General features: G+C 45.4%; 1 protein-coding gene across 2 annotated transcripts, besides 3 other annotated features; it reads left to right on the forward strand.

Annotated features, from left to right (window-relative positions):
* Positions 879-1,427: an enhancer, noted in NCBI's record as "H3K27ac-H3K4me1 hESC enhancer chr17:36452469-36453018 (GRCh37/hg19 assembly coordinates)". NCBI's record gives its function as "activates a minimal SCP1, AML or CMV promoter by ChIP-STARR-seq in naive and primed H9 embryonic stem cells {active_cell/tissue: H9 hESC(naive and primed)}" and the evidence as "EXISTENCE:reporter gene assay evidence [ECO:0000049][PMID:30033119]".
* Positions 1,428-1,978: an enhancer, noted in NCBI's record as "H3K27ac-H3K4me1 hESC enhancer chr17:36453019-36453569 (GRCh37/hg19 assembly coordinates)". NCBI's record gives its function as "activates a minimal SCP1, AML or CMV promoter by ChIP-STARR-seq in primed H9 embryonic stem cells {active_cell/tissue: H9 hESC(primed)}" and the evidence as "EXISTENCE:reporter gene assay evidence [ECO:0000049][PMID:30033119]".
* MRPL45 (mitochondrial ribosomal protein L45) lies at positions 1,543-27,586 on the forward strand. Of its 2 annotated transcripts, NM_032351.6 has the most exons (8): positions 1,543-1,624; positions 2,824-3,001; positions 3,726-3,843; positions 10,908-11,006; positions 23,062-23,110; positions 24,993-25,142; positions 26,501-26,674; positions 26,884-27,586. In NM_032351.6, exons 1-8 carry the CDS (start codon positions 1,559-1,561, stop codon positions 26,968-26,970), a joined length of 921 nt encoding a protein of 306 aa, NP_115727.5. In that variant the 5' UTR covers positions 1,543-1,558; the 3' UTR covers positions 26,971-27,586. The 2 variants fall into 2 exon arrangements, with proteins under 2 accessions (NP_115727.5, NP_001265208.2); NM_001278279.3 differs by lacking the exon at positions 24,993-25,142.
* Positions 24,748-25,685: an enhancer, noted in NCBI's record as "H3K4me1 hESC enhancer chr17:36476257-36477193 (GRCh37/hg19 assembly coordinates)". NCBI's record gives its function as "activates a minimal SCP1, AML or CMV promoter by ChIP-STARR-seq in primed H9 embryonic stem cells {active_cell/tissue: H9 hESC(primed)}" and the evidence as "EXISTENCE:reporter gene assay evidence [ECO:0000049][PMID:30033119]".
* Positions 27,587-27,917: the final 331 nt, after the last annotated feature.

Consider the following 27,917-nt stretch of genomic DNA (forward strand, 5'->3'; position numbering starts at 1 on the left):
ACCTCGTCTCTACTAAACTAGAAAAAATTAGCCGGGCATGGCAGCGTGCACCTGTAATCCCAGTTACTCTGGCGGCTGAGGCAGGAGAATCGCTTGAACCTGGGAGGCAGAGGTTGCAGTGAGCCGAGATTGTGCCACCGCACTCCAGCCTGGGTGACAGAGTGAGACTCCGTCTCCAAAAACAACAACAACACGTGATCTCCAAACCCAAAAGTAATCTTTCAGTTCTTCTGATAGTCCCCAGCACTTTGCTTCGACCTTTGTAGCAATTCTACTTCAGCCTGAAATTTCTTGTATGTACAGCCTGTAGCTCCTAACTTATTGCAAAATATTGTAGATGAGAACTCTGTAAGCTGTAATTGGCAGAATAATAACCAACGGCTAAGTGTGGAAAGTGTCTGCCTTTCAGCAACGTTTACACTACTGAATTTACCAGGGTGATCCCAACATCACGAATCCTTTAACAACTTAACATGAAGCAGCACGTAGCAGTTACCTGCATGGGTTCTGGAATTAGACTGCTTAGATTCAAATCTCGGTTCTGCCAGTTATCATCTATCTAACCTTAAGTAAATTACGTAATTGCTCTGTGACTCCTTTCCGAAATGACAAATCACAAATGTTTTTGTCAATTCACGTGTCTTCTGCTTTAGTAAACATAGTAGAAGACAGTAGTCAATCTCTTTTTTTGTTTTTTTTTGAGACAAAGTCTTTCTCTGTCACCGACGCTGGAGTGCAGTGGCGGGATCTCGGATCACTGCAGCCTCCGCCTCCTGTGTTCGAGGGATTCTCCTGCCTTAGCCTCCCAAGTAGCTCAGACTACAGCCGCCTGCCACCAAGCCCGGCGCTCTCTTGCTGGCGCATGACAACCGTGCGTTCCACCCTACGACTAATTTTTTTTTTTTTTTTTTAGACGGAGTCTAGCTCTGGCTGGAGTCAGTGGCGCGATCTCGGCTCACTGCAACCTCTGCCTCCTGGGTTCAAGCGATTCTCCTGCCTCAGCCTTACAAGCAGCTGGGACTACAGGCGTGTGCCACCACGCCCGGCTAATTTTTGTATTTTTAGTAGAGACGGGGTTTCGTCATTTTGGCCAGGCTGGTCTCGAACTCCTGACTTCAGGTGATCCACCGGTCTCGGCCTCCCAAAGTGCTGGGATTACAGGCGTGAGCCACCGCGCCCGGCCTCCTTTTCCTTTTTTAACTAATGGAATAAACGGCAATGTGCCAAGCATACAGCAATGCCCATTCCCCGGCCTTCAGAAAGCCTCGGGCGCAGGCGCAGCTCGCGTTCAAGCGCTCTCTCGCTGGCGGGGGACAACAGTTCGTTCCACCCTACGCCCAACGTTGTCTCCCTGCGCACGCGCGGCCGTACTCCGCCCTCCTTACTCCACCCTCCCCCACTCCCGCGAGCACGTGCGCGTCCTCGCTGCTCACATTTCGGCGGAGGGCGCGCTCCCTGGAAAATTCCACTCCTGTGCTAGCTCCACCCTATGCGGCTTTTCTCCTACCCGACGCTCTTCACTCTCAGCTCCCTTCCCGGCGGCCTTTGCGGGAACAAGATGGCAGCCCCCATACCTCAAGGGTTCTCTTGTTTATCGAGGTTTTTGGGCTGGTGGTCTCGGCAGGTGGGTAGGGACGGGGCCGATAGGACCCTAGGGGCTACAGGAGAGGACAGAGTCGAGGGAAATACTCTCTGTGCAATTGTCCTTGGTGAGCTGGGACAATACGAGTCATACCTAGGCCGGGGAAGAGGCTTAGGTGGACAGGACCTAGCTGCGGAGCTCAGTGGTCGAATGGGGATAGCCTAGACAGGGCCATGAGAGCGAGTGAATTAACGGATATTAAGTTTTTCCGGATTGGTTTGGGTCTGTCTGGCGAGGAGATATTAAAGGAGAGACAAGTAATGGGTTGGAAGGTGGACTCCCTAATCTTCGATTCTTATAAGTGAACTACGTTGAAGAGTAGCCGAAAATGAGGGCGTCCCATATTGTCACTGCCCCGTCTGAGCAAACCTCATGATCAGAGAGAAAAGATCTCCTGATCTTTCGAGGGTTTATTGGTCAGTTGGGTGCTAAAACGACAGAATAAAGTTTACAGCGAGACTCCCGATAGGATGAGCAAAATATCACGAGTACATATGGAGCAGATGCCTACAAGAGGACTTTGCTTATGCTTTAAGCATAGCATTCAGGGCCCGGCGCGGTGGTTCACACTTGTAATCCCAGCACTTTGAAAGTCCGAGGCAGAAGGATGGCTTGAGCCCAGGAGTTCGAAATGAGCCTGGGCAACATATAAGACCTGGTCTTTACAAAAAAATTTTAAAATTAGCCAGATGCGATGGCGCACTCCTTAGTCCCAGCTACTTGGGAGGCTGCGGTGGGAGGATAGCTAGAGCCCAGGAGGTCAAGGCTGCAGTGAACCGTGATCGTGCCATCGCACTCTAGGCTAGCGATCTGCCTCAAAAAATAATAAAGAATAGTATTCTGCCCATTTCAGTATTGAGTTGGTGTTTCCCCATCACCATCAGTTTTTGAAACTTGCTTTGATCAACTCAGTATCCGTAGGAGTTAGCATAGTCCTGTACTGTGGGAAGTTCTAAAGGAAAGCCTTTAGTAAATGTGATGTTAATAAAGGTTGCTAACTGTCTTCTATTTAGAGACACCCATAAGTATTAAGGTCCTAATGCATTTTTTCCCTGTGATATTGTTTTATAATTGTTCCTGAAGCATTCTTTGGATATTCCCTCTCTATAGTGCTTTGCTTAGAGTTTGTAAAAGATAGTAGATCTTTTTTCTAGGTTCCTAACCTTTCCTTTACCTTCCAGCCAGTTCTGGTGACTCAGTCCGCAGCTATAGTTCCAGTAAGAACTAAAAAACGTTTCACACCTCCTATTTATCAACCTAAATTTAAAACAGAAAAGGAGTTTATGCAACATGCCCGGAAAGCAGGATTGGTTATTCCTCCAGAAAAATCGGACCGTTCCATACATCTGGCCTGTACAGGTGAGGTATTTCTGGGACCCTGACCTGGGATCCTTCTGTCAGAGATCTTCTGGAACTTGGGATGACTTGGACTATGATTGATAATATTTAATTAAGCACGAAGTCAGTTCAACCTCAATAATGATTAACCTTATATACACTATATATCATGAAGTTGTTCTTTGAACTTACTTTCACACTGTCCCTAGAAGGCAAGAGTGAAATTTCTCCATTTTGTGGAAGTAGAAACTGAGGCTCTGAGAGAAGACTTAAATCTTTCTGGCTTTTTTTGTTTTGTTTTGTTTTGTTTTTTGAGACAGAGTCTCGTTCTGTCGCCCAGTGGCACAATCTGGGCTCACTGCAACCTCTGCCCCCCTGGGTTCAAGCGATTCTCCTACCTCAGCCTTCCAAGTAGCTGGGATTACAGGCACCTGCCACCATGCCCGGCTAATTTTTGTATTTTTAGTAGAGATGGGGTTTCACCATCTTGGCCAGGCTGGTCTTGAATTCCTGACTTTGTGATCCGCCCGCCTCGGCCTCCCAAAGTACTGGGATTACAGGTGTGAGCCACTGTGCCCGGCCTTGTTTTGTTTTTTTCTAGTGTAACATAGTTCTCTCTACATGGAAGTCTGTTTCATTAGTCTACTTCATATCCACAATCCTTCCCAATTTTACATTACTTCAATTTTATGAGTTTTTCTCAATCTTTCAACACTTTCTTAATTTTTTTCTTCCTTTATTACAGCTGGTATATTTGATGCCTATGTTCCTCCTGAGGGTGATGCACGCATATCATCTCTTTCAAAGGAGGGACTGATAGAGAGAACTGAACGAATGAAGAAGACTATGGCATCACAAGTGTCGTAGGTGTCTGAGACAATTGGGTATTGGTATTAGAATAACAATTTTTTGTTGCTACTTTATCCCAAAGAGACCTTTTTGGGTTAATTGGGTTGGGTGTCATTCTCTTAATAACATGATGGTATTTTCTCCTTTGTACTAGAGTCTGTATTTAATGCAGAATAATGTGGGCTTCCTGATTCTCAGCATCCCTGCCTTTATTGGTAATTTTTGTCATATCAGTTAGGGAGTTGACTTTGGAGTGTATAGGATCCTTTTTTAATCATATATTTAATTTTTTTTTTTTTGAGATGGAGTTTCGCTCTTGTTGCCCAGACTAGAATGCAATGGCACGATCTTGGCTCACCGCAACCTCCGCCTCCTGGATTCAAATGATCCTCCTGCCTCAGCCTCCTGAGTAGCTGGGATTACAGGCATGTGCCACCATGCCCGGCTAATTTTGTATTTTTAGTAGAGATGTGGTTTCTCCATGTTGGTCTGTTGGTCAGGCTGGTCTTGAACTCCTGACCTCAGGAGGCCCGCCTTGGCCTCCCAAAGTGCTGGGATTACAGGTGAGAGCCACCACGCCCAGCCCTTTATTTATTTATTTATTTATTTATTTTGAGACGGAGTTTCACTCTTAACTCACTGCAACCTCTGCCTCCCGGGTTCAAGAGATTCTCCTGCCTCAGCCTCCCGAGTAGCTGGACTACAGACGCATGCCACCACGCCCAGCTAATTTTTGTATTTTTAGTAAAGACGGGGTTTCACCATGTTGGCCAAGATGGTCTCGATCTCTTGACCTCGTGATCCACCCACCTCAGCCTCCTGAAGTGCTGGGATTACAGGCGTGAGCCACTGCGCCCAGCCGACCTGGCTAATTTTTAAAAGAAATTTTTGTAGAGACGGGTTATCACTATGTTGCCCAGGCTGGTCTCGAACTCCTGGGCTCAAGCAGTCCTCCCACCTCAGCCTCCCAAAATTCTGGGATTACAGGTGTGACCCGTCACACCCAGCCAGTCTAGCTCTGACTGTATCTATCTTTTTTTTTAAATTTGTACTGTTCATTGCAGAGCAGGGCTACCCCATAGGCCACTGTGCCCAGAGTAGCCGCTGTCACTATATGTAAATCATGTATAGGTTTATGTGCATAAGTATATTGAGTCAGTATGAATTCTTCACATGGCCATGACTTATTTCTCTACATATAGATTTTATTGGCTGGGTGCGGTGGCTCACGTCTGTAATCCCAGCACTTTGGGAGGCTGAGGTGGGCGGATCACCTGAGGTCAGGAATCGAAAACCAGCCCGACCAACATGGAGAAACCTCATCTCTACTAAAAATGCAAAATTAGCCGGGCGTGGTGGCACATGCCTGTAATCCCAGCTACTCAGGAGGCTGAGGCAGGAGAATCGCTTGAACCCGGGAGGCGGAGGTTGCGGTGAGCCGAGATCGTGCCATTGCACTCCAGCCTGGGCAACAAGGGCGAAACTCTGTCTCAAAAAAAAATAATAATAAAAAAGATTTTATCATATTACCTCCCTGCTTAGAACTCTTTTATGGCTTCCTGTTAACCAAAGAATAAAATCCAGATATCTTCAGTGGTATACAAAGCTTTTATAATCTGGTCCTTGCCTTTTTCTCCACCATCATTCTTTGTCCTTATTCCATTTTTCTCATCCTAAATTTTAGCATTTCCAAACTAATTGCCAATTCCTTGCCAGTACTGTACCATTCCTCTTTGTCTTTGCACATCCTTTCCTTTGCCTGAAATGTCTTTTTCCCCTCCTACTTTTTTTTTCTTCTTTTTTTGAGATGGAGTTTTACTCTTGTTGCCCAGGCTGGAGTGCAGTGGTGCAATCTCGGCTCACCACAACCTCTGCCTTCTGGGTTGAAGCGATTCTCCTGCCTCAGCTCCCGAGTAGCTGGGATTACAGGCATGTGCCACCACGTCTGGCTAATTTTGTATTTTTAATAGAGATGGGGTTTCTCCATGTTGGTCAGGCTGGTCTTGAACTCCCGACCTCAGGTGATCCGCCAGACTCAGGCCTCCCAAAGTGCTGGGATTACAGGCGTGAGCCACCACGCTGGGCTATCATGTTTGTTTCTAAGGCCTCCATGACTATTTTTGGTGCTGCCTTTGCTGTGATTGTAATTGCACACTTGTATTTATTTCTCCTAATACTCTGTACTGCAATGTTTCCTCTCATGTATTTCTCTCCTGGACTGTGAGCAGGGTCCATGGTGATGATGAACAAAGCACATACGGTTTTACCATGCAGTTCTCTTCTAGGGGAGGAAAACAGTCATTAAATACTGATCGCACACAAATAATTATAGGTGTAGTGAAGTAGGAGTGCCATGGGAGCATATGACAGGGAAAGATAATGGCCGGGCGAGGTGGCTCACGCCTGTAATCCCAGCGCTTTGGGATGACGAGGCGGGTGGATCACGAGGTCAGGAGATCGAGACCATCCTGGCTAACACAGGGAAACCCCGTCTCTACTAAAAATACAAAAAATTAGCCAGGTGCGGTGGTGGGCGCCTGTAGTCCCAGCTACTCAGGAGGCTGAGGCCGGAGAATGGTGTGAACTCAGGAGGCAGAGCTTGCAGTGAGCCGAGATTGCACCACTGCACTCCAGCCTGGGCGACAGAGCAAGACTCCGTCTCAAAAAAAAAAAAAAAAAAAAAGATAACTTGGTCTGGGAGATCAGAGAAGACTTGCCTGAGGAAATGATATTTAAAGTTGGGATTGTGGCTGGATGAGGTGGCTCACAACTGTAATCCCAGCACTTTGGGAAGCCAAGGCTGGTGGATCACCTGAGAGGTCGGGAGTTCGAGACCAGCCTGGCCAACATGGTGAGATCCCATCTCTACTAAAGATACAAAATTTAGCCAAGCATGGTGGCACATACCTGTAATCTCAGCTACTCGGAAGGCTGAGGCAGGAGAATCGGTTGAACCCAGGAGGTGGAGGTTGCAGTGAGCCCAGATTGCACCACTGCATTCCAGCCTGGGCAACAGAGTGAGACTCCATCTCAAAAAAAAAAAAAAAAAAAGTTTGTTTTTTTTTTTTTTTTTTAGAGTTAGCCAGGTGGAGAAGTGTGGTGAGGAATAGCATTCTAGGGAAACAGAACAGTACAAGCAAGGCTTTGAGGTTAAAAGAGTATAAAGGGGTGTCAGATTTTGTCAAATGCTTTTTTGTGTCTATTGAGATGATCATGTGATACTTGTTCTTTATTCTGTTGATATGATGACATATTAATTGATTTTCTTTTCTTTTCTTCTTTTTTTTTGAGATGGAGTCTTGCTCTGTTACCCAGGCTGGAGTGCAGTGGCTCCATCTCGGCCCACTGCAGCCTCTGCCTCCCAGGTTCAAGTGATTCTCCTGCCTCAGCCTCCCGAGTAGCTGAGACTACAGGTGTGCGCCACCATGCCCCACTGATTTTTGTATTTTTAGTAGAGACAGGGTTTCACCATGTTAGCCAGCCTGGACTCCTGACCTCAGGTGATCCACCTTCCTGACCTCCCAAAGTGCTGGCATTACAGGCGTGAGGCACCGTGCCCAGCCTTATTAATTGATTTTCAAATATTAAACCAACCTCACATCCCTGGGATAAATTCCTTTAACACACTTAAATTAATACTTTGATTAAATCAAATTCTCTATATTGTTATAACTTGGAAAATGCTGTTGACAGCTGAGTTATATAGTACATTATGAACACTTTTTCTTTCCTGCATAATATATTTTTTTTTCCTGAAGTGTAGTGTCTTAATTTGCTCATTTGCTTATGGAACTATGGGTTATGTAATTTCCTCTCTGTGCATTCAAAACATTAAATTTTTTTTTTTTTTTTTTTTTTTTTGAGAGGGAGTCTCACTCTGTTGCCCAGGCTGGAGTGCAATGGTATGATCTTGGCTCACTGCAACCTCTGCCTCCTGGGTTCAAGCAATTCTTCTGTGTTAGCCTCCCCAGTAGGTGGGACTACAGGTGTGTGCCACCACACCTGGCTGTTTTGTATTTTTAGTACAGACGGGGTTTCACCATATTGGCCAGGCTGGTCTCGAACTCCTGACCTCATTATCTACCTGCCTCAGCCTCCCAAAGTGCTAGGATTACAGGTGTGAGCCACCACGCCCTGCAACATTAAATATTTTATTAATTTCATCTTTTTCAAGAAATCCCTCCTGGAGTCTTCTTACCTGTTTTAATCTGGACTAGTTGCTCTTAAGGCCAACTGTACGTCTTAGGATCTAAGATTCCTCTTGCCTCCGTCTTCTTTTCTTTTTTTTTTGAGACTGAGTCTTGCTCTGTTGCCCAGGCTGGAGTGCAGTGGTGCGATCTCAGCTCACTGCAACTTCCGCCTCCCGGGTTCAAGCGATTCTCCTGCCTCAGTCTCCTGAGTAGCTGGGATTACAGGTGTGCGCCACCACGCCCAGCTAATTTTTGTATTTTTAGTAGAAATGGGGTTTCACCATGTTGGTCAGGCTGATTGCCTCCCTCTTACGTTGTATTCCCTGTTGCTTGGATCCTATGTCTTTATGTTTTCATAGTCTATTTCATTACTTTGGTGGAGCACATTTTCTAGCAGCTGCCTGAGAAAGGCTGCATGGTGGATAAATAAGATCTTGCAAGTCTAAAAAGAAATATTTTATTCTCCCACTTCATTTATAATTTGCCCAGGTATTTAATTCTGTGATAGAAATAATTTTTTCCTCAATTAAAAGTACTGCTCAAAGTCTGGGCATGGTGGGTCATGCCTGTAATCTCAACACTTTGGGAGGCTGAGGCAGGAGGATCACTTGAGCAGGAGTTGAATACCAGCTGGGCAACACAGTGAGACCTTGTCTCTACAAAAACTAAAAAAAAGTGAAAATTAGCCAAGCGTGGTAGTGCACACCTGCAGTTCCAGTTACTTGGGAGTCTGAAGTGGGAGGATTGCATGAGTCCCAGAGGTCAAGGCTGCAGTGAGCCCTGATGGCGTCACTGTACTCTAGCCTGGGTGACAGAGTGAGACCCTGTCTCAGTGAATGAATGAATGAATGAGTGAATGAATAATAAAAGCACTGCTCTGTTGTCTTTGTAATTACTTTTTATTTTATTTTTTTTTTGAGACGGAGTCTCACTCTTTCGCCCAGGCTGGATTGCAGTGGCGCGATCTTGACTTACTACAACCTCTGCCTCTTGGGTTCAAACAATTTTCCTGCCTCAGTCTCCTGAGTAGCTGGGACTACGGGCGCCTGCCACCACGCCCAGCTAATTTTTGTATTTTTAGTAAAGACAGGGTTTCACCATATTGGCCAGGCCAGTCTCGAACTCCTGACCTTGTGATCAGCCCACCTTGGCCTCCCAAAGTGCTGGGATTACAGACCTGAGTCACTGCGCCCGGCCGTAACTTCCTTTTTTTTTTTTTTGAGACGAAGTCTCGCTCTGTCACCCAGGCTGGAGTGCAGTGGCAGGATCTCAGCTCACTGCAACCTCTGCCTCCTGGGTTCAAGTGATTCTTCTGCCTCAGTCTCCCGAGTAGCTGGAACTACAGGCACGTGCCATCACGCTTGGCTAATTTTTTGTATTTTAGTGGAGACGGGGTTTCACCATGTTGGCCAGGATGATCTCGAGCTCCTGACCTCATGATCTGCCTGCTTTGGCCTCCCAAAGTGCTGGGATTACAGGCGTGAGCCACTGCACCCGGCCTGTCTTTGTAACTTCTAATGTTGCTGTTAGGAAGCCCAGTGTTGCCAGGTGCCATGGCTCAGGCCTGTAATCCCAGCACTTTGGGAGGCCGAGGCAGGCAGATCACAAGGACAGGAGTTCGAGACCAGCCTGGTCAGCATGGTGAAACCCCATCTCTACTAAAAATACAAAAATTAGGCGGGCGGGGTGATGTGTGCCTGTAGTCCCAGCTACTTGGGAGGCTGAGGCAGGAGAATTGCTTGAACCCAGGAGGCAGAGGTTGCAGTGAGCCGAGATTGCGCCACTGTACTCCAGCCTGTGCGACGGAGTGCGAGACTCTGTCTCAAAAAAAAAAAAAAAGAAGCCCAGTGTTATTCTGACTCTTTTTTTTGAGATGGAGTCTCGCTCTGTTTCCCAGGCTGGAGTGCAGTGGCGCGATCACTACCTCTGCCTCCTAAGTTCAAGTATTCTCCTGCCTCAGCCTCCCAAGTAGCTGGGATTACAGACAGCACCACCATGCCCAGCTTTTTTTTTTTTGAGATGGAGTCTCGCTCTGTGACCCAGGCTGGAATGCGGTGGTGCGATCTCTGCTCACTGCAACCTCTGCCTCCTGGGTTCAAGCGATTCTTGTGCCTCAGCCTCCGGAGTAGCTGGGATTACTGGTGTGCACCACCATGCCCAGCTTATTTTTGGATTTTTAGTATAGATGGGGTTTCACCCTGTTGGCTAGGCTGGTCTCAAACTCCTGACCTCAAGTGATCTACCTGCCTCGGCCTCCCAAAGTGCTGGGATTACAGACGTGAGCCACCGCGCCTGGCCTATTTTGACTCTTGAGCATTTGTAAGAAACCCGTTTTTTCTGTTTTTAGTGCATATCAGATGTTATCTTTGATTCTAGAATTCTGAAATTTCACTATGAGAAGTCTTAGTCTTTCTTTAGAGTGCTTAATTTAAGAGGGAGAAGGTTGAATTTCCAGGACTTGACACATTAAAAAATCAATTATTGGCCGGGCGTGGTAGCTCACGCCTGTAATCCCAGGACTTTGGGAGGCCGAGGCGGGCGGATCCTGAGGTCAGGAGATCGAGACCATCCTGGCTAACACGGTGAAACCCCGTCTCTACTAAAAATACAAAAATTTAGCCGCGTGTGGTCGCGGGCGCCTGTAGTGCCAGCTACTCAGGAGGCTGAGGCAGGAGAATGGCGTGAACCTGGGAGGCAGAGCTTGCAGTGAGCCGAGATCATGCCACTGCACTCCAGCCTGGGTGACAGAGCGAGACTCAAAAAAAGAAAAAAAAAAAAAAGCTAAACAGTTATTGAGTAAGTGGATGGACATGAATGGAGGTCAGTGTAGGCTGTGAATTATGGAATTGTAAGACCTTTAGAAGTAATACTCAGGCTTAATTTTACAGAATCCGGAGGATAAAAGACTATGATGCCAACTTTAAAATAAAGGACTTCCCTGAAAAAGCTAAGGATATCTTTATTGAAGCTCACCTTTGTCTAAATAAGTAAGTGAACTCCCTATCTTTACCCATTCTGTTCTCAGCAGTTAGCTATTATTTTAGGCACAGTTTTTTTGTTTGTTTGTTTTTGTTTTGCACAAATTTGTTTTCTGCCTTCAGGTAAGAGATCTAGAGTGAGAGAACTTCCTATATTGGAAGTAATTAGTGACTGACGCTGTCTTTCACTCCCCTCTCTGCTTCTGGGAATTTCTACCATTTGGTCTGTCTCAGTTCCACCTGCAAGTGTTGGGACCTTGTGCCAGAATAGCTGCCTTTTTCACCCTATCTGATCCCTGAATTCATTCTGATCTTTTTTGTGTGTTTGTCTTACGTATCTTCATTTCCCTTTCCTTGGTTATTTTGAATATATTTCTTGTGAAAATTTCCAGCTCTCCCTCCACTTTTATTTTTTTATTTTTTATTTTGAGATGGAGTCTCGCTCTGTCGCCCAGGCTGGGAGTGCAATGGCGCAATCTTGGCTCTCTGCAACCTCCACGTCCCTGGTTCAAGCAACTCCCCTGCCTCAGCCTCCCAAGTAGCTGGGATTACAGGTGCACGCCACCACATCCAGCTAATTTTTTTGTATTTTTAGTAGAGACGGGGTTTCATCATGTTGGCCAGACTGGTCCTGAACTCCTGACCTCAGGCAACCTGCCCGCCTCGGCCTCCCAAAGTGCTAGGATTACAGGCATGAGCCACCACGCCCGGCCCCCTTTTTTTTTTTGAGATGGAGTCTCACTGTTGCACAGTCTGGAATGCAGTGGCATGATCGTGGCTCACTGCAGCCTTGACCTCCTGGACCCAAGTGGTTCTCTCAAGGAATCTACTTAGTCCGTCAAGTAGAGCTGGGACCACCAGCATCTGCCACCACACCCAGCTAATTAAAATAAACTTTTTTTTGTAGAGACAAGGTTTTGCTGTGTTGCCTAGACTGGTCTCAAATTCCTGGGCTCAAGCAATCCTCCTGCCTTGGCCTCCCAAAGTGAAGAAATTATAGGCATGAGCCACCATACCTGGCCACCCAGCTTTTTCTTGATTCATCCAAGTTAGGGCTCCTAGGAAGATGAAGAATCAACATTAGGAGGCTGGAATATCTTAAGTACTAGCCGTGGACTGTTGCTGGCATTCTTTGATCTGTGGCTGCTGTGGCTAGGCTTCAGGTGGGACCCAAAACCTGTAGTCTAAAATCCATTAATTATTTAATTTTACTTTTATTTCTTTAAAAAAAATTTATTTATTTTGAATAGAGATGGGATGTCGTGATGTTGCCCAGGCTGTTCTTGTTTTTGTTTTTTGTTTTGAGACGGTCTTGTTCTGTTGCCCAGGCTGGAGGGCAGTGGTGCAATCACAGCTCATTGCAGCCTCAGCTCCGGGGCTCAAGCGATCCTCCCATCTCAGCCCCCTGAGTAGCTGGAACCTCTAGGGGTATACCACCACACCCTGCTAGTTTTCATATTTTTTGTAGGGATGGGATTTCACCATGTTGCCCAGGCTATGCAAGCCAGTCATTTTTTTTTTTCCCCCTTTTTGAGACGGAGTCTAGCTCTGTCATCCAGGCTGGAGTGCAGTGGTGCAGCCTGTGCCTCCTGGGTTCAAGCAATTCTCCTGCCTTAGCCTCCCAAGTAACTGCATGCCACCACACCCAGCTAATTTTTGTATGTTTAGTACAGATGGGTTTTTACCATGTTGGCCAGGTGGTCTAAAACTCCTGACCTCAGGTGATCTGCCTACCTCAGCCTCCCAAAGTGCTGGGATTACAGATGTGAGCCACTATGCTCAGCCTTGTTTTATTTCTCAAAACATTGTTTTTTTTTTTGTTTGTTTGTTTGTTTTGAGATAGACTCTTGCTCTGTTGCCCAGGCTGGAGTGCAGTGACGTGATCTTGGCTCACTGCAACCTCTGCCTCCCAGATTCAAGCAATTCTCCTGCCTTAACCTCCCAAGTAACTGGGATTACAGGCACGCACCACCACACCTGACTATTTTCTGTATTTTTAATAGAGACGGATTTCACCATGTTGGCCAGGCTGGTCTTGAACTCCTGACCTCAAGTGATCCGCCCACCTCGGCCTCCCAAAGTGCTGGGATTACAGGCGTGAGCCAACGCGCCCGGCCTAATTTTTGTATTTTTAGTAGAGATGGGGTTTTGCCATGTTGGCTAGGCTGGTCTCAAACTCCTGACCTCAGGTGATCCGCCCTCCTCAGCGTTACTGTTGTTTCTGTTGAGAAATTAACTTTTTTTTTTTTCATTTTGTTAAAGTTTATTTTTACTTTGTGTGCTTTTATTTATGTTTTTTTTTTGAGACAGAGTCTCGCTCTGTCACCAGGCTGGAGTGCAGTAGCGCAATCTCGACTTACTGCAACCTCCGCCTCCCAGTTTGAAACGATTCTGCTGCCTCAGCCTCTTGAGTAGCTGGAACTACAGGTGCCTGCCACCACGCCCAGCTAATTTTTGTATTTTTAGTAGAGACAGGGTTTCACCATATTGGCCAGGCTGGTCTCGAACTCCTGACCTTGTGATCTGCCCACCTTGGCCTCCCAAAGTGCTGGGATTACAGGTGTGAGCCACTGTGCCCAGCTGACTTTGTGTGCTTTGAAGATTTTCTCTCAGGCTGGGTGTGGTGGCTCTCGCTTGTAATCCCAGCGCTTTGGGAGGCCAAGACTGGTGGATCACAAGGTCAGGAGTTCGAAACCAGCCTGGCCAATGTGGTGAAACCCTGTCTCTACTAAAAATACAAAAAAAAAATTAGCCAGGTGTGGTGGTGCATGTGTGTAATCTCTGCTACTTGGGAGGGGCTGAGGCAGGAGAATCGCTTGAACCCAGGAGTCAGAGGTTGCTTTGAGCCGAGATCGTGCAGCTGCACTCAAGCCACGACAACAGAGCAAAACTCCGTCTCAGAAAAAAAAAAAAAAAAAAGATTTTTTTTCTTTCTTTTTAGTATTCAGCAATTTACTATGATTTATCTATGGGTATCTGTCTTCTTAAATTTTTATTTTTATTTTTTAGTTTTTTTTGTAGAGACAGGGTCTGGCCTTGTTGCCCAGGCTGGTCTTGAATCCCTGGCTTCAAGCAATCCTTCCACCTCAGACTCCCAAAATGCTGGGATTATAGGCATGTGCCACCACACTGGGCCATGTGTGTGTCTTTTATCCTGCTCTGGGTTCATATTGCTTCTTAAATCTTTAGGTGCTTTTTTTGTCAGTGTTGGAAAATTCTCAGTCAGAACTCATCTCTTCAGATGTTGCTTCTGCTCCACTTTCTCGTCTCCTTGTGTAGTTCTGAATACACATATGTTAGATCTTTCACTGTGTGCCAAATGTGTCTTCAGCTCTTTTCTATATTTTTCCAACCTTTTTTTTTCCCCCTCCAGCTTTAGTCTGGATATTCTCTGATCTATCTTCCTGTCCTCTTTTCAGTTGTAGCTAATCTGCTGTTAACCTACCTATCGAGTTCTTAATTTTATATTTATTTTATTTATTTTCTGTTTTTCGCTTTTAGAATTTTCTTTTTTTTTTTTTTTTAGTGTGTCCAGATCTCTGGTAAAATTCTCCATTCTGTCATCTAATTTCTTGAACATGCTAATCACAGTTATTTTAAAACCTGTGTCTGATAACTTCAAAATCTATGTCTTCAATAGGTCCATTTTCTCTTGTCTTATTTGTTTCTTTTGGGTTTTGGTTAGTTCTTGTCATTTTTGTTTTTGTTTTTGTTTTTTTTTTTTGAGATGGAGTCTTGCTCTGTCACCCTGGCTGGAGTGCAGTGGTGTGATCTCCGCTCACTGCATCCTCTGCCTCCCGGATTCAAGGAATTCTCCCTTCTCAGTCCCTGGAGTAGCTGAGACTACAGGTGCACACCATGATGCCCAGCTAATTTTTGTATTTTTAGTAGAAATGGCATTTCACCATATTGGTCAGGCTGGTCTCGAACTCCTGACTTCAGGTGATTCACCTGCCTCAGCCTCCCAAAGTGCTGGGATTACAGGCATGAGCCACTGCACCTGGCCTTGTTTTTGGTTTTTGAGACAGGCTCTTGCGCTGTCACTCAGGCTAGAGTACAGTGGCTCGATCATGGCTCACTGCTGCCTTGACCTCCCAAGCTCAAGTGATCCTCCCACTTCAGCCTCCAAAGTAGCTGGGACTTAGTACATGCCACCATACCTGGCTAATTTTTAAATTTTTTGTAGAGACAGGGTCTTGCTATGTTGCCCAGGCTGGTCTCGAACTCTGGCCTCAAGCAGTCCTCTCAGCCTCCCAAAGTGTTGGTACAGTTTTCTTGCCATTTTGTATTCCTGCATTTTTTTTTAAACAAATAGATATTTTAGAAAAATCTAAGACAATCATTTATTTTAAAAATTATAAGATTAATAATAGCTTTTATATATTTATGGTAAAATACACATAATATACAATTTACCATTTTAATCATTTTGAAGTATATAATTCAGTGGCATTAAGTACATTCACAATGTTGTACAATTCTTACCACTATCCATTTCCAGATTTTGTTCATCTCAGACAGGAATTTTATACCCATTAAGCAGTAATTCCCCATTGCCCTCTTCCCTTATCACCTGGTAACCTCCATTCTACTTTATTTCTCTATGAATTTACCCATCCTGATGCTATGGTCTGAATGTTAGTGTCTCCTGAAAATTCATTTGTCAAAATCCTAACCCCCAAGGTGATGGTATAGGCTGTGGGGGGCCCTCTGGGAGGTGATGAGGTCCTGAGAGTGGAGCCCTCATGAATGGGAAGAGTGCCCTTATAAAGGAGACCCGGGGATCCAGGTGTGGTGGTTCACGCCTATAATCCCAGCACTTTGGGAGGCTGAGGCAGGCAGATCACGAGGTCAAGAGATCGAGACCATCCTGGCCAACATGGTGAAACCCCATCTCTACTAAAAATACAAAAATTAGCTGGGTGTGGTGGCGTGTACCTGTAGTCCCGGTTACTTGGGAGGCTGAGGCAAGAGAATTGCTTGAACCCAGGAGGTGGAGGTTGCAGTGAGCCAAGATCGCACCACTGCACTCCAGCCTGGCGACAGAGCGAGACTCCGTCTCAAAAAAAAAAAAAAAAAAAAGAGACCTGAGGGAGCTTGTGCACCCCTTCCACCCACTGACGACACAGCAAGAAGTCAACATCTATGAGGAACGGGCTCTCACCAGACACCAAATTTGCCAGTGTCTTGATCTTGGACTTCCCAGCCTCTAGAACTGTGAGAAATAAATGTTGTTTATAAGCCACCTGGTTTATGATATTTTTGTTACAGCATCCTGAACAGATGAAGGCATCTAGGTACCTCACATAAGTGGAATCTTACAGTTTTTGACCTTTTGTGATTGGCTTAGTTCACTTAGCATGATGTCTTCAATGTTCATATATATTGTAGCATGTGTCTCCTTAATTTTATTTTTATTTTTTTATCTTTTTTTTTTTTTTGAGATGGAGTTTTGCTCTTGTCACCCAGGCTGGAGTGTAATGGCTCGATCTCCAGTCACTGCAACCTTTGCCTCCTGGGTTCAAGCGATTCTCCAGCCTCAGCCTCCCAAGTAGCTGGGATTACAGACGCCTGCCATCACACCTGGCTAATTTTTGTATTTTTAGTAGAGACGGGGTTCACCATGTTGGCCAGGCTGGTCTCGAACTCCTGACCTCAGGTGATCCGCCTGCCTCGGCCTCCGTAAGTGCGGGGATTACAGGTGTGAGCCACCGTGCCCAGCCACGTATGTCTCCTTATTAAGGCTGAATAATATTTCATTGTATGTATATACACCACATTTTGTTTATCCATTCATCTAGTGATGGACATTCAGGTTGTTTCCACCTTTTATTGTGGCATAATGCTCCTGTGATTGTTGGTGTACAAGTATCTGTTTGAGCTCGTGCTTTCAATTCATTTGGGTATATACTCAGAACTGAAGTTGTTGGATCACATGATAACTCTATGTTTAACTTTTTGAAGGTCTGGGTGGTGGCTCATACCCGTAATCCAGCACTTTTGGAGGCCGAAGTGGGAGGATTGTTTCTGGGCAGCAGAGTAAGACCCCATCTCTATAAAAAATTTAAAAAATCATCCGGGCATGGTGGTGCATGCCTGTAGTCCCAGCTATTTGAGGTGCTAAGGCAGAAGGATTGCTTGAGCTCAGGGATTTTTGAGGCTGTGGTGAGCTATGATTGTGTCACTACACTCCAGCCTCAATGACAGAGTGAGACTGTCTCAAAAAAAAAACCCTAACTTTTTGAGGAACCACCATATGGTTTTCCTTAGCAGCTACACTGTTTTACATTCCTATGACCAATGCACAAGGATTCCAGTTTCTCTACATCCTCACTGATACCTATTACTTTCCTTTTTATTGGTTTTTTTTTTTTTTTTTTGAGATGGAGTCTCGCTCTGTTGCTCAGGCTGGAGTGCAGTGGCACAATCTTGGCTCACTGCAAGCTCCGCCTGCCGGGTTCAAGCCATTCTCCTGCCTCAGCCTCCCGGGTAGCTGGAACTACAGGCGCCTGCCACCACACCCGGCTAATTTTTTGTATTTTTAGTAGAGATGGGGTTTCATGTGTTAGCCAGGATGGTCTCAATCTCCTGACCTCGTGATCCACCCGCCTTGGCCTCCCAAAGTGCTGGGATTACAGGCGTGAGCTATTGCGCCTAGCCACTTTCCTTTCTATTAAAAAAAAAAAAAAATATATATATATATATATATACATATATATATATACGTATATATATATATATATACGTATATATATATATATACATATATATATATATATATGAGAGATGGGGTCTCACTGTATTGCCCAAGCTGGTCTCAAACTCCTGGGCTTAAGCAATCCTCTTGCCTCGGCCTCCCAAAATGCTAGGACTACAGGTGTGAGCCACCATGCCCAGCCTTTTTCTTTTTATAATAGGCATCCTCATGGGTGTGAAGTGTAGTATCTCATTATGGTTTTGCTTTGTATTTCCCTAATAGCTAGTGACATTGAGCATCTTTTCATGTGCTATTGGCCTTTTGTACGTCTTCTTTGAAGAAAGGTCTTTTTTTTTTTTTTGAGTTGAAGTCTTGCTCTGTCGCCCAGACAGGACTGCAGTGGCACGATCTCGGCTCATAGCAACCTCTGCCTCCTGGGTTCAAGCGATTCTCCTGCCTCAGCCTCCCGAGTAGCTGGGATTACAGGCATGCACCACCATGCCCAGCTAATTTTTGTAGTTTTAGTAGAGACGGGGTTTCACCATGTTGGCCAGGCTGGTCTCGAACTCCTGACCTCAGATGATCCACCCACCTCAGCCTTCCAAAGTGGTGGGATTACAGGCGTGAGCCACTGCACCCAGCCCAGAAAGGTCTATTTTTAAATTAGGCGGTTATTTTGTTGTTGAGTTATAGGAGTTCTTTATATATTTTGGATATTAATCCTTTATCAGATATATGCTGTGCTAATATTTCCCCCCATTTTATGGTTTGTCTTTTCACTCTTTTATTATTATTAGTTTTTGAGATGGAGTTTTGCTCTTGAAGCCCAGGCTGGAGTGCAATGGCGTGATCTCGGCTCACCGCAACCTCTGCCTCCTGGGTTCAAGCAATTCTCCTGCCTCAGCCTCCTGAGTAGCTCAGATTACAGGCATGCGCCACCATGCCTGGCTAATTTTGTATTTTTAGTAGAGACAGGGTTTCACCATGTTGGACAGGCTGGTCTTGAATTCCCGACCTCGGGTGATCCACCTGCCTCGGCCTCCCAAAGTGCTGGGATTACAGGCGTGAGCCACTGCGCCTGCCGTCTTTTCACTCTTGATAGTATCCTTTGATGCAAAAAAGTTTTAAATTTTGATGAAATCCAGTTTTTCAAGTTTTTTTCTTTTGTTACCATATCGAGTTTTTTCTTTTGGTGTCATATTCAAGAAATCATTGCCAAATCCAGTGTCATGAAGTATTTCCCCTTCCTTTTTCTCTAAGATTTTTATAGTTTTAGCTCTCACATTTAGGTCTTTGCTCCATTTTGAGTTAGTTTTTGTATATAGTGAAAACTATGTGATGTTTTTGCTTTTTTTTGCATGAGAATATTCATTTTTCTAGCACCATTTATTGAAGAGACTGTGCTTTCCCATTAAGTGGCCAGGCCGGTCTCAAACTCCTGACCTCAGATGATCCACCCGCCTTGACCTCCCAAAGCGTTGGGATTACAGGCATGGGCCACCGCCTGTCCTCAACAGTGGTTTTTGCAGAAATAGAGAAACACAGCCAGGCGTGGTGGCTAGTTCAACCTAGTTTGAATAATATCAACTTAGTTTCAATAATATACAAACGCTCTGCTCCTATATGTCTCTCCCTCCCACTTCATTATGTCTCTCCTGCTTCATTATCACAGATTACAGTTTTATACCTTGGGTGCCCATTACATCAATTCATAATTATTGTTTTATGCATTTGCCTTTTAAATCATACAGGATGAAAAATGAGGAATTATAAACCAAAAGTACAGTAATACAGGCTTTTATATTTATCTATGTAGTTACTTTTCCTACATAGTAGTAAAACATACATGTTTTTTGTTTTTTTCTTGTGGTTTTGAGTTACTTTCTGGTGTCCTTTCATTTTAGCCTGAAGGATCCCCTTTAGCCTTTGTTTGTTTCTTTTTTATTTTAAAGTCAGGGTCTCACTTTTTCAGCCAGGCTGGAGTGAGCACAGTGGTGCAATGATAGCTGCACTGCAGCCTCAACCTGCTGGGCTCAAGCGATCTTCCCACCTCAGCCCCTGAGTAGCTGGGACTACAGGTGTGTGCCACAGCACCTGGCTAATTTTTTTTTTTTTTTTCTAATTTTTTTGTAGAGACAGGGGTCTCGCTTTGTTGCCCAGGCTGGTCTCGAACTCCTGGCCTCAAGTGATCCTCTTGCCTCTGCCTCCCAATGTGTTGGGATTATAGGCATGAGCTGCTGTGCCCAGCCTATTGCCACTTTCAAGATTCATTCTTTGTGTTTGGGTTTTGACACTTTGGTTTTAATGTTTCTTGGTATGAATTTCTTTCAGTTTATCTTGCTAGGAGGTTTTTGAGCTTCCTGGATGTACATATGAATGTCTTTCATCAGATTTGGGATGTCTGCAGCCATTATTTCTTTTTCTTTCTTTTTTTTTTTTTGCATGTTATTTTTATTTTATTTTATTTTTTGAGATGGAGCTTTACTCTTGTTTCCCAGGCTGGAGTGCAGTGGCCCGATCTCGGCTCATTGCAGCCTCCGCCTCCCAGGTTCAAGTGATTCTCCTGCCTCAGTCTCCCAAGTAGCTGGGATTACAGGCACTTGCCACCCACACCTGGCTAATTTTTGTATTTTTTAGTAAAGATAGGGTTTCACCCTGTTGACCAGGCTGGTCTCGAACTCCTGACCTCAGGTGATCCACCCACCTTGGCCTCCCAAAGTGCTGGGATTACAGGTATGAGCCATTGTGCCTGGCCGCATTATTTCTTCAAATTTTTTTTCTATCCATTTCTTTCTTCTTTTTCTGGGACTCCTATGATGTGTATTTGGTATACTTGATGATGTCCCACAGGTCCCTCAAGGTTTTGTTCATTTTTTTTCCATTATTTTTTCTCTTTGCATTTTAGACTATGTAATTTTAATTACCTTATCCTCAAGTTCACTGATACTTTGCCTGCTCAAACCTGCTGTTGAACCCCTCTAGTGAATTTTAAAATTTATTGTACTTTTTAGCTCCAGAATTTCTGTTTGGTTCCCTTGTATAATTTCTGTCTCCAATGTGTTCACACATTGTTTTTCTGATTTCATTACTTCTTTGTCCATGGTTTCCTTTAGCTCATTGGACATATTTAGGACAATTGATTTGTGTCTTTACTAATAATTACAATGTCTGGGTTTCCTTAGGGGTGGTTTCTGTCAAATTATTTTTTGGTCAGGTGTGGTGGCTCATGCCTATAATCCAGTACTTTGGGAGGCCGAGGCGGGCAGATCACTTGAGTCCAGGAGTTCGAGACCAGCCTGGCCAACATGGTGAAACCCCAACTCTACTAAAAATACAAAAAAAGCTGGGTGTGGTGGCGTGCACCTGTAGTCCCAGAATCTCACTCTGTAGCCCAGGCTGGAGGGCAGTGGTGCAATCCAAAAAAAAAAAAAAAAAAAAAAAAAAAGCAAAAGTGTATTTGTCTGTTTTACATTTTATCCAACATTTCCTTTTTTTTTGAGACGGAGTCTTGCTCTGTTGCCAGGCTGGAGTGCAGTGGCGCGATCTTGGCTCACTGCAACCTCCACCTCCCAGGTTCAAGCGATTCTCCTGCCTCAGCCTCCTGAATAGCTGAGACTCCAGGTGTGTGCCACTGTACCTGGCTAATTTTTGTATTTTTAGTAGGGACAGGGTTTCACCATGTTGGCCAGGATGGTCTTGATCTCCTGACCTCGTGATCTGCCCACCTTGGCCTCCCAAAGTGCTGGGATTACAGGCATGAGCCACCGCACCCGGCCCATAAATCCACCATTTCTAAATGTTTATAGTAGAAGTAGTATTACATTATTGCAAAATAGTAAGTGAACTCATGGAAAATGGAGTTTATTTCCACTGAAGACTTCTATGCCAGGATAGTGGGGAGGAAGAGTTCACTCAGAGGTGCCAGTGATGGTCATCATGGTAGTTGTCACCACAGCTCAGTCTGTTCCTACAGTAGAGGAAATGACTTGGAATCTTTCCTATTAGGAATAGAGATGAAAGGGAAGCAGATAGACATGTTAGAACTAATCCCTTACCCATTCTGGGCTTAGAGAGCAAGATTTTTCAAAGGGGACAAAGAGTTAAACTGCTCATAGTAAACTGGGGAAAAGTCGTGTGTATCTGAAAGAAGCTAATCTATGGCCTTAGGTTTGAGACTCATCAGCTAGGAACCCTCCTAAAATCTTGTATCTATAGGAGCTAGGGTTTGTTGTCTGTTTTGTGTTTTTTTTGTTTTGTTTTGTTTTTTTTTGAGACGGAATCTCGCTCTGTCACTCAGGCTAGAGTGCAGTGGCGTGATCTCAGCTCACCGCAACCTCCGCCTCCCGGGTTCATGCCATTCTCCTGCCTTAGCCTCCTGAGTAGCTGGGACTACAGGCGCCTGCTACTACTCTCGGCTAATTTTTTTTGTATTTTTAGTAGAGATGGGGTTTCACCTTGTTAGCCATGACGGTCTCGATCTCCTGACCTCATGATCCACCCGCCTCGGCCTCCCAAAATGCTGGGATTACAGGCATGAGCCACCATGCCCGGCTGTTTTGTGTTTTTTTAACCATTACTATATAGAGTCAGCATGACTCGGCCACTCTGGCAGCAACAAGATAAAGGAGAGAAAATAGACCAGGAAAGACATGATTATCTTTGACTAGGTTCAAAGATGAGCGTGTAAGATATAAGGCTAAAAACATGGTGAAACCCCATCTCTACTAAAAATACAAAAATTAGGTGGGCGTCATGACGTGCACTTGTAGTCCCAGCTACTCAGGAGGCTGAGGCAGGAGAACCGCTTGAACCTGGGAGGTGGAGGTTGCAGTGAGCCGAGATCGCGCCACTGCACTCCAGCCTGGCGACAGAGCGAGACTCTGTCTCAAAAAAAAAAAAAAAAAAAAAAAGATATAAGGCCAAGCCAGATGGTACTGATGCTGGCTCAGAGGCAAGAGGAGATAAAACAAGCTTTTGATTGTTACTTGTGTTGAACTTTGTTGCTCATACCAGCTTAGAGCAAAAATCAGGTCCTATGTCCCAGTGAGGGTACCCATCTTAAGGATATATGGTAATTTTAGAGAAATTGCCTCCTACTCCTTAGATTTAAACATAATTTTTTTTAAATTTATTTTTTATTTGTAATATAATTTTATTCTGCTACTAGATCTTAGGGTTTTCTGGTAAATCACATTATTGTTCGTGTTTGTGCCCCTAGAATTTAGCATATTTTATACCTGGCTTATACTAGATGTGCCGAAAACATTTGTAAAAATGAATTGTTTTCCATTTTCAGGACCATTTTCAGTCTTCATACAGGGTATTATAAGAGCAATAGTCAATGATATTTATTGCTTTCTTTTCTAGCTCAGACCATGACCGGCTTCATACCTTGGTAACTGAACACTGTTTTCCAGTAAGTTCTCATCCTCCTTAGAACTGTGGGGTGACTGAGTGGGCAGATTCTAGATGGCGTCTCTGGTTTTTCTTTTCTTTTCTTTTCTTTTCTTTTTTTTTTTTTTTTTGAGACAGAGTTTCACTCTTGTTGCCCAGGCTGGAGTGCAATGGTGCGATCTTGGCTCACCGCAACCTCCACCTCCCAGGTTCAAGCGATTCTCCTGCCTCATCCTCCCAAGTAGCTGGGATTACAGGCATGCGCCACCATGCCCAGCTAATTTTTTATTTATTTATTTATTTATTTATTTATTTATTTATTTATTTATTTATTTATTTTGAGATGGAGTCTCGCTCTGTCGCCCAGGATGGAGTGCAGTGGCGCTATCTCGGCTCACTGCAAGCTCCGCCTCCCGGGTTCACGCCATTCTCCTGCCTCAGCCTCTTGAGTAGCTGGGACTACAGGCACCCGCCAGCACACCCGGCTAATTTTTTGTATTTTTAGTAGAGACGGGGTTTCACTGTGTTAGCCAGGATGGTCTCGATCTTCTGACCTCGTGATCCGGCCACCTCGGCTTCCCAAAGTGCTGGGATTACAGGTGTGAGCTACCGCACCTGGCCTAATTTTGTATTTTTAGTAGAGACGGGGTTTCTCCCGTTGGTCAGGCTGGTCTCCAACTCCCGACCTCAGGTGATCCGCCCGCCTCGGCCTCCCAAAGTGCTGGGATTACAGGCATGAACCCCACTGCGCCCTGCCTGGTTTTTCTTAAGAAGGATCAGTTTTGAGAGTGTAGGAAGTTTAAGGCACAGGCTGAAGGTTCATTGCTTGTAGCTGAATGACAATGTCTTGACACAGACTCTGGTAAGGGCCCTGGCAAATGAAAGAAGTCCCTCAACAAGCAGTAATGACACTGCAGGAGCATAGGTCCTGAGGCTTGGATATGGGCCATACTAGGCCACATCTCCACACGCCTGCACTATCATGAGGGATTTAACAAGAGTTCATGAGGCTTATATTGAGTGGTAACAGGAGTGTGAAGCACTTGGAGGGATCCCCAAGGATAAGAACTTTGTGGTTCAGTTAGAGATCCAAGAATAAGAACTTGGGGCCGGGTGCGGTGGCTCACGCCTGTAACCCCAGCGCTTTGGGAGGCCGAGGCGGGCGGATCACGAGGTCAGGAGATCAAGACCATCCTGGCTAACATGGTGAAACCCCGTCTCTACTGAAAATACAGAAAAATTAGCCGGGCGTGGTGGCGGGCGCCAGTAGTCCCAGCTACTCGGGAAGCTGAGGCAAGAGAATGGCGTGAACCTGGGAGGCGGAGCTTGCAGTGAGCCGAGACCGCGCCACTGTGCTCTAGCCTGGGCAACAGAGCAAGATTGCCGTCTCAAAAATAAAAATAAATAAAAAAAGAACTTGGGTTTCTATCAGTAGAACTTCAGTTTCTATCAGTCTTCCCCAGTCCTAGCAGTTTAGCCCTTATAGCCCTGTAAAATTCCCACTTTTCATTGTTAATATGTGAGTGGGGAAAAAAAATATATATGCAGTCAACACAAGTACATGCAATAATTGCCACATTATGAAAGTGTATGGGAGGGATGTTGGTGTATTGGGCATGCTGGCAGTTTGGAATGTGGTTTTTGTTGATTTAAAGAAGGGTCCTCAAAGAGGAAGGTGGGTCTGAAGTTGTGATATAGATGAAGAGAGAGTTGTCAGGTAAGCTTGACCAATAGCTTAATCAAAACTTGAGAAGGTGCAAGAGAAAATAGGCACAAGAGAGCATGTGGTGGGAAACGTGCTGCCTGTTGGCTGTAGTCTTGCAGGAAGTGAGAGCAGTGTGGCAGCACCAGCTTCCTTAAAGGGAGGGAAAAATGCAGTTGAACTTGTTCTCCTTTGCCCTTAGGACATGACTTGGGACATCAAATATAAGACCGTCCGCTGGAGCTTTGTGGAATCTTTAGAGCCCTCTCATGTTGTTCAAGTTCGCTGTTCAAGTATGATGAACCAGGGCAACGTGTACGGCCAGATCACCGTACGCATGCACACCCGGCAGGTAGAGGCACTCGTCTGCCTTCCTCCCAGCTTTTTTTCACTCTGAGCTTGGGCACCTCCCTCTGGAGTGCTGGGTATGGTTGCCCAGGACTGTAGACAGTAATAAAAGGTACACTGTGATCTGTCTTCCTTGCTGTGCCGCTGTCCCCTTCCCACTGTTACATGTTGGCTCTACTAAGATGTGTGAGGATATTCTCTCCCACTCTTCCTGATTTTTTTTTTTCCCCCAAGACAGGGTCTCATTCTGTCACCCAGGCTGGAGTGCAGTGATGTGATTGTGGCTCACTGCAGCCTCAACCTCCTGGGCTCAAGCAATCCTCCCACCTCAGCCTCCAAGTAGCTGGGACTACAGGGGCACGCAACCATGCCTGGCTAATTTTAGTATTTTTTGTAGAGACCAGTCTTGTCATTTTGCCCAAGCTGGTCTCAGACTCCTGAGCTCAAGTGATCCACCCACCTCAGCCTCCCAAAGTGCTGGGACTATAGGCATGAGCCATTGTGCCCCACTCCTTCTTGGTCTTGACTTCCCCGTCTCTCTGCCCCCTGTCAAAGAACTTGTAAGAATAAAGTGTCAGTAGTTGATCAGATAGTCCTAGATTCAGAATTCCGAGATAACTTTTTTTCTACCCATTAAGATTTTTTCTGGCTGGGCACAGTAACTCATGCCTGTAATCCCAGCACTTTGGGAGGCCACGGCAGGCAGATCACAAGGTCAGGAGTTCAAGACCAGCCTGGCCAACATGGCAAAACACTGTGTACACTACAAATAGAAAAATTGGCCGGGCATCATGGTGTGTGCCCGTAGTCCCACCTACTCAGGAGGCTGAGGCAGGAGAATCGCTTGAACCTGGAAGGCGGAGGTTGCAGTGAGACGATACCGTACCACTGCACTCCAGCCTGGGCAACAGCAAGACTCCGTCTCCAAAAAAAAAAAATTTAAAAAGATTTTTCTTATGGTGGTTTCAAAAATGGTTGTGTGGCAGGCTGGGTGCAGTGGCTCACGCCTGTAATCCCAGCACTTTGAGAGGCCGAAGCGGGTGGATCACCTGAGGTCAGGAGTTGGACAGCTGGGTCAACATGGTGACACCCCATCTCTACTAAAAAAGACAAAAAAAATCATCCAGGAGTGGTGGCACGTGCCTGTAATCCCAGCTACTTGGGAGGCTGAGGCAGGAGAATTGCTTGAACCCAGGAGGTAGAGGTTGCAGTGAGCTGAGATCATGCCACTGCACTCCAGCCAGGGCAACAGAGTGAGACTCTGTCTCAAAAAAAAAAAAAAGGTTGTATGGCAATAAAACAAACAACTCACACTCACACACCAAAAAAACTAAGAGGCCAGATTTGCTTTTATCCTTGCAGACTCTGGCCATCTATGACCGGTTTGGCCGGTTGATGTATGGACAGGAAGATGTACCCAAGGATGTCCTGGAGTATGTTGTATTCGAAAAGCAGTTGACAAACCCCTATGGAAGCTGGAGAATGCATACCAAGATCGTTCCCCCATGGGCACCCCCTAAGCAGCCCATCCTTAAGGTAAGGTGGCTTGCATGGTTTAAGAGAGCTGAGGCACTACTCGTGGTCTCCTAAGCCACTCTGTCGGGCTCCACCTAGTGGCGAGAGGGGGTGATGCACCACCCAGGAAGGGAAGGCCGGGTGGGTGGGTGGGTGGGAGCAAGGGATGAAGCTCTTCTGGGTCAGCCATGGGCTTGGTTGGTGGGTAACCTGGCGTCCTACTCTTTCAGACGGTGATGATCCCTGGCCCTCAGCTGAAACCAGAAGAAGAATATGAAGAGGCACAAGGAGAGGCCCAGAAGCCTCAGCTAGCCTGATGACAAAAATGACTTCTAGGGTGAAGCCTGGGTGATGAGGCTGCTGGAAGCTTTGAAGTCTCCCATTCCCCTCATGCTATAAAAAGAACTACCTTTGTTCTCTCCCATCCTGCTCAGGTCTTTTCAGCAGTCTCATCATCAGCAACCATGACTGATGACTGGGCCCTAGCAGGTGGCAGGTATAACATGGCCATGGACACTCTTCTTTTTTAAATTTTATGTCTAGCTTCTGAGTCTAGATGAAAGACAGTATGTTTCAGAGAACATTGGATATCAGTTTTTCCCACAGCAGGGACTGTGAGAGACAACCAGCAGCATCCTCTTTGTAATCACAGGGCAGGGATCAGAGTTTGAAATGAAATGTTGTCAGGGTGTTGGAAAAATTTTGGTGAGTTCTGCACATTTCCCCTGGTTCAGGCTGGGCATGGACCAGCCTTCAGATGGCAGAAGTGGAAGATGAGCCTACTTGTGAGCGATGTGACTTTAAGGAAATGAAGACTGGGGAAGAATAATTAGTGTTTATAAGACATTTAAGAGGCCCTTTTTCATATACTGACTCACTGATGAATCAGCATTTGCATTTTATGGAAAAATATAAATCCAAAGAAATAATTTATCCCTTAGCCTTTGATTGTGTTCTTAATTATTAGCTGTATCAGGAAGTGTTGGGGGAGGCAGGGGCCATGGAGAGGTTGTTACATTTGGAAAATTTATCTGCAGTACTTGGTTCCCTGATTTCTAGCACCATTTGGAGATGGGGACTGTTCTTTCCAGCCCAGTATTGAAGGTGAGTGTACAAAAGTATGAACCTGTGCAGAGGAAAATAGGCCAGCCCCTCCTTGTTCCTTAGCTCCAGATGGGCTGTTAAAAGGGTGTGGGACCTCACATGCCCATGTGTCCTAGGCCATCTGAGTGTGACAAGAGAAATCACTTTGTTTTTGTTTTAT

The sequence above is a fragment of the Homo sapiens genome, chromosome 17 (genome assembly GCF_000001405.40).
Source record: "Homo sapiens chromosome 17, GRCh38.p14 Primary Assembly".
NCBI classification, from domain to species: Eukaryota; Metazoa; Chordata; class Mammalia; order Primates; family Hominidae; genus Homo; species Homo sapiens.

Excerpts from the sequence above, each read along its gene's own strand:
- MRPL45 (NM_032351.6), top strand. The coding sequence starts at position 1,559 with ATGGCAGCCCCCATACCTCAAGGGTTCTCTTGTTTATCGAGGTTTTTG. Across the intron at positions 3,844-10,907 it reads ACTATGGCATCACAAGTGTC|AATCCGGAGGATAAAAGACT; the intron begins GTAGGTGTCTGA and ends TTAATTTTACAG. Across the intron at positions 25,143-26,500 it reads TACGCATGCACACCCGGCAG|ACTCTGGCCATCTATGACCG; the intron begins GTAGAGGCACTC and ends TTATCCTTGCAG.